This window comes from Homo sapiens, chromosome 15 (assembly GCF_000001405.40).
Source record: "Homo sapiens chromosome 15, GRCh38.p14 Primary Assembly".
NCBI classification, from domain to species: Eukaryota; Metazoa; Chordata; class Mammalia; order Primates; family Hominidae; genus Homo; species Homo sapiens.
In genome coordinates, this window is record NC_000015.10 from 53,416,858 (window position 1) to 53,426,830 (window position 9,973).

Consider the following 9,973-nt stretch of genomic DNA (forward strand, 5'->3'; position numbering starts at 1 on the left):
TCACAGCTTGAACTTTACAGAACTAAGACTTACACTCAGAGCTTCTGACAATCATTTAGATGCCATATGCTTCTGTCAGCTGAAAACAAAGAAAACAAAGAGTTTGTCCTCTCAGAGGGCAGATCCTCATGCTCTTGGTGACTTTCCTTTGAATTCTGGACACTTTTATTATACCTGTAGGGCAACTGGTAGGTAAAATTTACAGACTGGGAGTAATCTACATTTTTGCTTTGTGTATCATTGATCTTTTCTTCTTTTTTTCTTTACCTCTTCCTTTTCTGTTTTTGAGTTAGGAAATGCTAGAGATGAAACCCCAAACTATCTCTTGACAAGAAGTTTTCAAACAGCAATGCAATAGGAGAGCAAGATTCTAGGCCAAGAAACATGATAAAATTTAAATTCACTATAAGCGTGCTGCAAACTGACTTCCTTCTCAGCCCTTCTCACTTAGAAAACCTCCATGAAGCCTTTGAGGTGAGCCTTGCTTCAGGCTGCCCCTGTTCCCACCCTCACCTGTTTAAGTCCCTCTATCTGATGCTGAGGCCCATCTAAGTCTACTATTAGTATATCATCGTCCTTCTCTTGCTTCATGGCTGGGGATTTACGTCTCACATTTTCCTTCAATGTTGTGTTTTTAATGCTCGCTTTTTTGCTGGGTTTGACTCTGACACCTCTGTGAAAATCTCTGATGGGTGTCCTCTGATCTGGAAATCAGTTTTGTCGCAAAACTGGGGAATCTTCTCAGTTTGGTTTAGGAAAGTAGTAGGGGTCCTTTTCCATTTGCATGAATTTTATCAAGGCTTTCCCAGTCGTAAAGTATTGGTAAAGTTTTTATTCATTCATATATTTATTCATCTGTTTCTGCTTTAATTCACTACACAAAAATGTTGAATGTCCCAAGCACAGTGCTAGGTACTGAAACTGCTCACGTGAATCGTATATAGACATGGACCTCATGGAGAATTTGGTCTAGAACACTGTTTCTTCAAATGTGTTCCTCACAACCTAATCTTATAGGGGTTTCTTTAAAAAAATGCATCGGAAAGTGAAGTACTATGTATTAATTATCCCTTTTAAAGATTCTCATTGTACATTAGTTGTAAAGGTTTCAAAAAGTCTGATAGAAATATCTCTTTGTTTAACCCAGTCTTTGCCAAATGTATTTAGCCAAGAGAGACCCCGTCCCACCCCCTTTTTTAGTAGTTCATATTAAAATCCTTCAGACTCAAGTTCTGGGGAAAAATTAAGAACGCAGATACAGTGAATGATTTTCCTTTGAGACCCTTCCTGGGAGAGGGCCCCCAGGGATTCTGCATCTCTGGGCACTTTCTCCCTGTTCAATTGTGGATCCCAGCACTGGCCAGATGGAGCTTCATTTACTATCCCTATTCAAATAATATAACTGAATCATTAAAAAAATGATGTGGTGACCACAGGATTAGGCTTTTTCATGTAGTGGGCAGTGTGGCAACTGCCTTACATACATCATCTCCTTTGACCCTTCAACCAGTCTTCTGAGATAGATTTTAGGATTTCCATTTTACAGATGAGAAACCTAGAGATTACAGTGGTTAAGTAAATTTTCAAGGACACTCAACTAATAAATTGTGGAGACAAATACTGAACTCAGTCCTGTCTCATTCCAAAGCCCAAGCCCATTGTCATTAAGCCACGGTTTCCCAAAGTGAGCTACTTAAGCTGACTTTAATAGAATAATGAACATTTTAAACATATGTTCATTATAGTGAATATTAGAAACAAGTACACTTAACTTGTAATAAGACGTTTTCTTTTGAAATAAAATTTGTTTCAGTAATAAAAATCAGTAGATTTAAATAATAATAATAATAAAGGTCTGTTGATACATGTATTAGTCCATTCTCATGATGCTAATAAGACATCCCCAAGACTGGGTAATTTATAAAAGAAAGAGGTTTAATTGACTCACAGTTCAGCATGGCTGGGGAGGCCTCAGGAAACTTATGATCACGGCAGAAGGGGAAGCAAACAAGTCCTTCTTCACATGGCAGCAGGAGAGGGAAGCATGAGAGCCAGGCAGAGGGAGAAATCCCTTATAAAACCATCAGATCTTGGGAGAACTTACTCACTGTAATAGTCTGTTCTCACGCTGTTAATAAGACATCCCCAAGACTGAGTAATTTATAAAGGAAAGAGGTTTGATCAACTCACAGTTCCACATGGCCGGGGAGGCCTCACAATCATGGCAGAAGGTGAAGGAAAACCAAAGGCACATCTTACATGGCAGCAGGCAAGAAGAATGATAGCCAAATGAAAGGGGAAACCCCTTATAAAAACATCAGCTCTCATGAGACTTATTCACTACTATGAGAACCGTATGGGGGAACTGCCCCCGTGATTCAGTTATCTTCCACTGGGTCCTTCCCACAATAGGGGGAATTATGGGAGCTACAATTCAAGATGAAATTTGGGTGGGGACAGAGCCAAACCATATCAATACAACAAAGACTGTGAAGGTGATGCTACAAAATAAAGGGGAGAAAGAGGTGTTACTTGACTGAATGCATTTGGAAAAGGCTGCGTTAAACAAAGATAAATATTTTTATAGGCCAGACTTTTAAGTTGTGAACACATTTGAAGGAACAGTGTTCTATACCAAATTCTCCATGAGGCCAAAGTCTATGATATATATGATTCACTTCAGCAGTTTCAGAACCTAACACAGCACTTGGCAGAAGTTTGGGAAGCACTAACCTAAGTCTAATTTCTTCCTAATAGTCTTGTTCTTGCTATTCCTGATATAACCTTAAGAGTCTACAGACCCAGGTCCTCTGCTGACTTCACTTCCGGGTAGTTTTCCTGGAGCTGGGGATGAAGGACTCTAAAGTCCATATTCATGGTTCCTCTCACATTGGGTTAAGGGCCCTTGGGAGTCCACAGATGAGGTCCCTCAGGGCCAGACAGTTCTCCTCACACTGTGGGGTAAGGGCCCCCAGGAGTCATAAAGACAAGCCCAGGGATTCCATAACATTTTCTTAATTTTGTATATTCATTTTCAATACAATACTTAAAAGTATTTTTGTGTATTATAAATTATTTCATTTATATTACAAATAAAAATCTGTCTTTTGCATTGGTAATTATCATTCAAAAGATTTTTTAATTGTTTTCATTTCTTTAGTTTCTCTTTAATTGATATTTCCCTTTATTAAACTTTAAAAGTGGAGACAATGTATAATGTACTATGTAGATATATTATTGTGAGTCATTATTCATTAAAATACAAAGATGGTAAGATATTTTTTTCTCCAAGGATGAAGATAAAGGAAAGAATAACTATAATATAAGTTCCCTTTAGGGGAGAACTTGAAGAGGTACAAAATGGTAAGAAAGTATAGGAGAGAGAGAAAACTCAAATAAGAGTCATTTGAAAAGCTCTGTTGAGTAGACACATTCCAACTTCTCTGTGATCTCTAAAGTGCAGGGTGAGGGAATTCCCTAGTGTAACCAATTTCAGTAGCGAGTAAAGAAGAACCTTGAGATTGGAGTCAGCTGAGGTTCCCAAGAGGAAAATTAGTTTACTTGAACCATGGGGAGCTCATTGAGATGGTCCAATCTGAGACATCCTGTGTTGTAGAGAGTCAGAACCCACAGGGGTTAAGATCGTGGTGGAGGTTTTGAGAGGATACACACCCAGGAATGAGGGGATAACTCGACATTGAGTTTCAGACTTAAGTATCTAACTGTCAAATTGACTCCTCTGTTGCGTATTAATAGGCATCCTTGTAGGAATGACAGCAGAAGGGCAGAAACCACCCACGTGAGGAAGCACGGTAAGTGTATTGGTCTAATTCTAGCCACAATAAAGGGGAAAGCAGTTGATCATTTGTGTGACAAACTGCAGTGGAAGCCAGAAACAGATCTGGATGAAATGAGAGCCAGAGCCTAAATTAAAATGCTTACTGCTGAACTCCATAGCAGGAGGGAAACTCAAAGTCCAGGGTAGGCAGGAAAGCAGTTATTTGTGTATTCAAATATCATAGCCTCTTTTTCATTAGTGCTTTGATTGTTCTAGCCTTTTCGTCTCTGGTCAAGGGGCTGTGACACACTTAGTGCCTGTTGAAGAACAACAGAAACAGATGCACAGCTGAAATATGGGCCAGCCCCTCTTTTTACATCACTTAGTAGCTACAGAGCAAAACTATAATTTAATAAAAGGACACTGGACTCCAGCTTGAGCTCTGACATAGTTTCATATGGGGATTCAGGTAGAGGTGTATTTGTGAGCTTCTGACACCTTCCAGAAGGTCAAATCACACAATTAAAATATTCTATTGCAAATGATGCATGGGTTTCAAAACTATTAATATATTTGCAAGACAAAACAAGGCTGCAAGTAATTACTTGTGTACTCTTTAATTTGTTGCATCCTACCTCCTCCTAAAAGCATTTACAGAAGCTTCCTTCTCTGAAGCTTGGCCCTCAGTCCTCTTCTCCATCTTCTCCACTTTTCTCCATAGGTGCTGCATTTACTTATTGCTCTAACTATCACCTATATGCCAATGACATCCACATTTGTATTTCTAGCCCAGACATTTCTACTATGCTCTAGACTTGTATGTTCAACAGCCTAGCTGATTTCTCCACTTGGATAGCCGGCAAACATTTCAACCTTTAAAATATGGTCGAATAGAATTCTTAACTTTCCCTCCCAAGCCTGGTTTGTTGTTCTGCCTTGAATCTTCTCATTTCCATGAATGGCACTACCATACACTCACCTCCTCAAGTTGAATACCTAAATTCACCTTTTTCCTTTACTTATACATTGAATTTATCAGCAAATTCTGTCCAACTACAAATATATCTCAAGTCTGTCCAATTTCTTTATTTTCACTGCCACTACACTTGTCCTAGACTGCACCATCTTGCATCTCTGGGTAACTACAGTGGCCTTCAACAATGACCTGCTTCTCGCTTTTGCTCCCCTTTAGTGCTTTCTCCATACAGCAGCCAGAGGGATCTTTTAAAACTGTAAGTCCATGTCACATTTAAAATCTTCCAGTGCCTCCCCATCTCATATGAGCCAGTAAGAAAAGGCTACATTCTACACGATCCCATATGATTCCAACTCTATGACAGGGGTCCTCAAGCCCTGAGCCAGGGACCGGTACCAGTCTGTGGCCTGTTAGGAACTGGGCCACACAGCAGAAGGTGAGTGGTGGGTGAGCCAGCATTACCGCCTGAGCTCCACCTCCTGTCAGATCAGTGGCAGCATTAGATTCTCTTGGAGCATGAACCCTATTGTGAACTGTGCATTTGAGGGATCTGGGTTGCATGTTCCTTATGAGAATCTAATGCTTGATGGTCTGAGGTGGAACAGTTTCATCCCCCCACACCCCCATTCATGGAAAAATTGTTTTCCACAAAACTGGCCCCTGGTGCCAAAAAGGTAGGCAAACCTGTGGAGACAGTAAAAAGATAAGTGGTTTCCAGGCATTAGGGAGAAGGGAAGGAGGGATGAATAGGCGGGACACAGAGGACTTTTTGGGCAGTGACTCTGTGTGATACCATAATTGTAGATATGTGTCATCATACCGCTGTCAACATCCACAGAATGTGCAACACACAGAGTGAACCCTCATGTAAACAAACAACTTTCGTTTAATCGTAATGTATGTATATTGGTTCATCAGTTGCAATGAATGCATGACATTAATGCAAGATGTTCATCACGGGGAGACTGTGTGTGGGGAGAGAGGGGGTATATGAGAGCTCTGTACTTTCTGTTCAATTTTTCTGTAAACTTAAAACTGCTCTAAAAATAAAGTGTGTTAAATAGAAATCTGCCTTCCTAACCATGTCCTGAGAAACTCGAAGTGCTCTGACCTCTGGCTTCTTCTTTGACTTCCGCTGTCACCTGCTCTTGCTTGCTCATACTGACTGTTGGTATCTCACAGGCTCCATGCTCTTTTCCAGCTCAGGGCCTCGGCACTTACTGTGCCCTCTGCCTGGAACGTTCTGCCCCCAGATGCTTACCGAGCACCTCTCTCTTCCTGTTGCTCAGGTCTCTGTTTTGTGTCACCTCCACTCCGATGACCATTCACACCAGTGTCCCTTGCTGCCTGCCCTGCCACTGCCATTGCTTCATCCTGTCTTGCTACCTTCTCAGCATGCATTATTGTTCAAAAGTATCTTGTTTATTTATCTTTGCTTCATCTCTGGCACAGATTCTGGCATATCATAGCTTCTTCATATGAGGTGTTGAACTCGGGGCATTGGAAATAAAATAAAATTTTAGATATGATTTCTTGTAGGTAATCATGAAAATGGCACAGGTACATGTACTATTTATGTCTGTATTTCTGTCACATCAAATGACTCTGATCCACGTCACTGTGAGGGTAGAGACCAAACTAGTATCATCCACTCAGAATAAATCCCTGGTGTCCAACATTACGCTTGGTGCATTATAGGTGTTCAGTAATTATCTGATGAAAGAATAAATGAAAAATAAATGAATGAAAGGCATACAAAACAATATTATCTCTTCTCACCCATGATTTCACTAAAGTCAGTTTTTAAATGTCAAATTTCAGAAAAGGTGAAGGCAACTTAGTTGTATTTTTAAACACTTATTTGATTCAATAGAAGCACACTCAAGACATTTTATAATTAATAGTATAGACACGTTTCTCTCCATTGTACCTCCACCCAGTCAGTCACCCAGTCTGGTAGATCTTGCCCCCTTAATGTATCTGTGCACAACCCTCTACTTAAATCTCTGCCTTAGCTCAAATACTTAGGACTTCTATCAGGGGGATTGGTAGACACAAAAGTGCACTGGCGTGAAAACAGTAGCCTGCTTCCTTGTATAACTATGATACACATACACATGTTTCCTTATATAGAGACGTTCATTTCCAATATCTAGGACTAAGTGTGAGTGGCCTGGCACATATCCAAATGCCTCCTCATCCTTAGTAGTCTGACAGCATTCTGGGGATGGCAGCTATAGTGTATCCTATCTGTTTTGACTTATGTAGTTCAATACCTATCTCTGTCCCTACCAGGTGCTTCTGCGGTAGGGCAAAGCTTGGACCTGGGCATTTAGCAAAATTTCTTCCACTAACTTGGATTGATATGCTTCATTGATGTGCTTCATTGCTGTAAGAGAGTGAAAGACCATTCTCTCTCTTGACTACCATGCCACCAAAAGAGTGTGAAAATGCCCATGAATTTAACTAATTTAGCCCTAGTTAGCCAATCAATGAATGCTTTTGAGTGTGTATTCACTCTCTTACTTGAATCTCTGTGCTTCAGCCTCTTGTTGTGGCCATAATCCCTCTAGGCCAGTTGCTGATTCAAAGGGCCAATCATCTTAGACGGTTCCACAGTAAAGACTTTAAGTTTTTCTACAAGACCAGACTGAAAGAGCTCTTTTCCAGCTGACTTGGTTTTATTAGCCACAATAACAGCCAGTCAATGAGCTATCTATGAACACGCATGCATGGTTGATCCAATTCAGTTGTTAAGGTGCCTGCAATAACATCAATCCCATTGATTGCTTTGCCATTAATGGCAATCAGCCCTTATGATGACTGGCCAAAAAAACCTATTTGATTAGGAAATTATCAATAGAATCATAATCATGCCTTATAGATATGTCCTAGTGGGTATTAGGGGACCTTTCCTTTCCTTAACTCCAAAAAGTGAGTCTTCTTGATCGAATTATAATCAGAATTCGAATCTTGATTCGAATTATAATCAGAAAATGGCACGTGTGATTTTCTGAAGGGGGAAGAGGGTGTTGTGACTTTAGTACCAACAATTCTTTTCTTAGTGAGCATATGTGATGCTCCTTCTTTGATCATAGCCAAAAGGGCTCTCCCTAGTTTTAATCCTTATAATTGCTGTGAACTCACTATAGTCACTTCATTCTTCACAGAGACCTGTTCTCCCAAATTCAGAGATGGTGGCAATGGCACTTGGGCTATTCCATAGTTTTAACAACTACACTAAATTGGACACACATAAGCTGATTAATGCAAGCTAATTGTCCACAATTTGTTTTTTCTTTATTTTGCTTCGAGTAGCAATTTTGTAGTTATCTGTCTGTTTAACCATCCATCCATCCATCTATTCATCCATCCATAAACACACACACACACAGACACACACACATATATACACATATGTATTCAAAATATCTGTGTGTGTGTTTTGTATTCTTTGTATTTATCTGGTTGCATTAATTAATTTCTTGTTTGAGTAGAAATGAGCAAATATGGTCCACTACCCAATCAGAGAGGGGGAAAGTATTTTATACCAGAAGTTCCAAAATATACTTCATATTATTTTTGGAAATAGGTGGGAACTAAATTATACATTTTTTAAGAACAAAAGGGTTTCAAAATCTGAAATTACATTGCAACATCAAATTCACAGAAAAATATAGGAGAAAGCCATACAAAAAGCAATTTGTATGAAAAAGAAAATTTTTATATAATGAGAGTTGCAGACTAAGTACAGAAAGCATGAAAATGAAAACATGTGAAGTAAAAACATTTAAAAGCATTGAAGTACAAATACATAAATGATTTCCTTACTTGCAAAACAAAAACTAATGTATTACATCAGTAATATACATATTTTCAGATAATATATTTTTCCAATTTGGGTTTTGCGGTTATAGAGAATTTTAATCAGATTGTGTAGAGTGAAGAAAGCAGAGGAGCCCATGTAAATTGTACTTAGTCTTTTTCATTAGAGGATGTGTCATTGACAAATCCAGGTTCAGAGCACAGCTATTCCCAACCCTGGTGGTCTCCGTGCATTTCTCTTGATCCTCTGCAAGGAAGATTATTTCTATATGAGGGTTTTGATTTCTGCTTAACTAGCAGAGGTGCAGGACTTCATTTCATTGACAGCTGTTCAAGTGTGCTTCATCTTTTGGCCAGGACTGAGAAACTTTTTAAAAAAGTTCTTCCCTGTTGTATTTTCTAAGACTAGATTATATAGTATCAAGTAAACTCAACAAAACTAAAGAGCAACTGTGATGCCATGAACATGATCTGATCAAACTTAATGACTAAAATTACATGACAACTTCTTAATGAACCAACTGAGTTAAAGTTGGCCACAGAGATGCAATTCAGATGCTTGATGAAATGCTAAACATCTTATGTCATTGAGGGGGTGACAAACGCTGGTGCTGTCATCAGGTAACATTTATATGGGGAAAAAATAACTCGTTTGACTAGACCCCTTTTTCTTTTGAAAAGTCAAATAACATTTAAGTGGCAACTGATATTTATAGTCTTCAGAATATAGAATGTTGGTTAAGTAAAAGAAGGGCTCCATTGTGCTCTGTAATTGTGAATAGCAACAGGCTCTGGAACACTTAGGCAAAAATTAAGATGGCCATGCCATTGTAGCAATAGCTTTGCTTTTGCTCCAGCTAAAACCAACATCCGAACTCCTCTATCCTTTTATCTTCTTTCCATTTGGTCTTAAATTTTTACTTACTGACTCCATGATCCTGGGCTTAACAATTTACTTCCTCTGGAACTCAGTTTTCTCATCTGGATAACAAAAATTTGAGGCTTGCTCAGTGAATGCTCTCTAATTTAAATAAATTTTTAAAGTAAACGTTACCCAACTTTGGTATCATATTTTAATTAACAACTTGCTTCATACATTCCTTATGCCTGTTTAGAAGACACCAGTATTTTGTGTCTATAATAAGAAAATGCAGTGTCCCAGCAATGAAAATTAATAAATTGCTGTTACAAGTAATGGATCTCACATAGTACTGCAAAAGAAACAGATCCAAAAGAATAAATATGGCATGATTCCATTCATATAAAATTGAAAAACAGGCAAAATTGATATACCATGGAAGAAATTTGATTAGTAGCTCCATTTGTTGGGGGAATTATGACTGGGAGGGATGTAAGAAGGGTTTCTGGGGTTCTGGTACAGTTCTGTTTCTTTA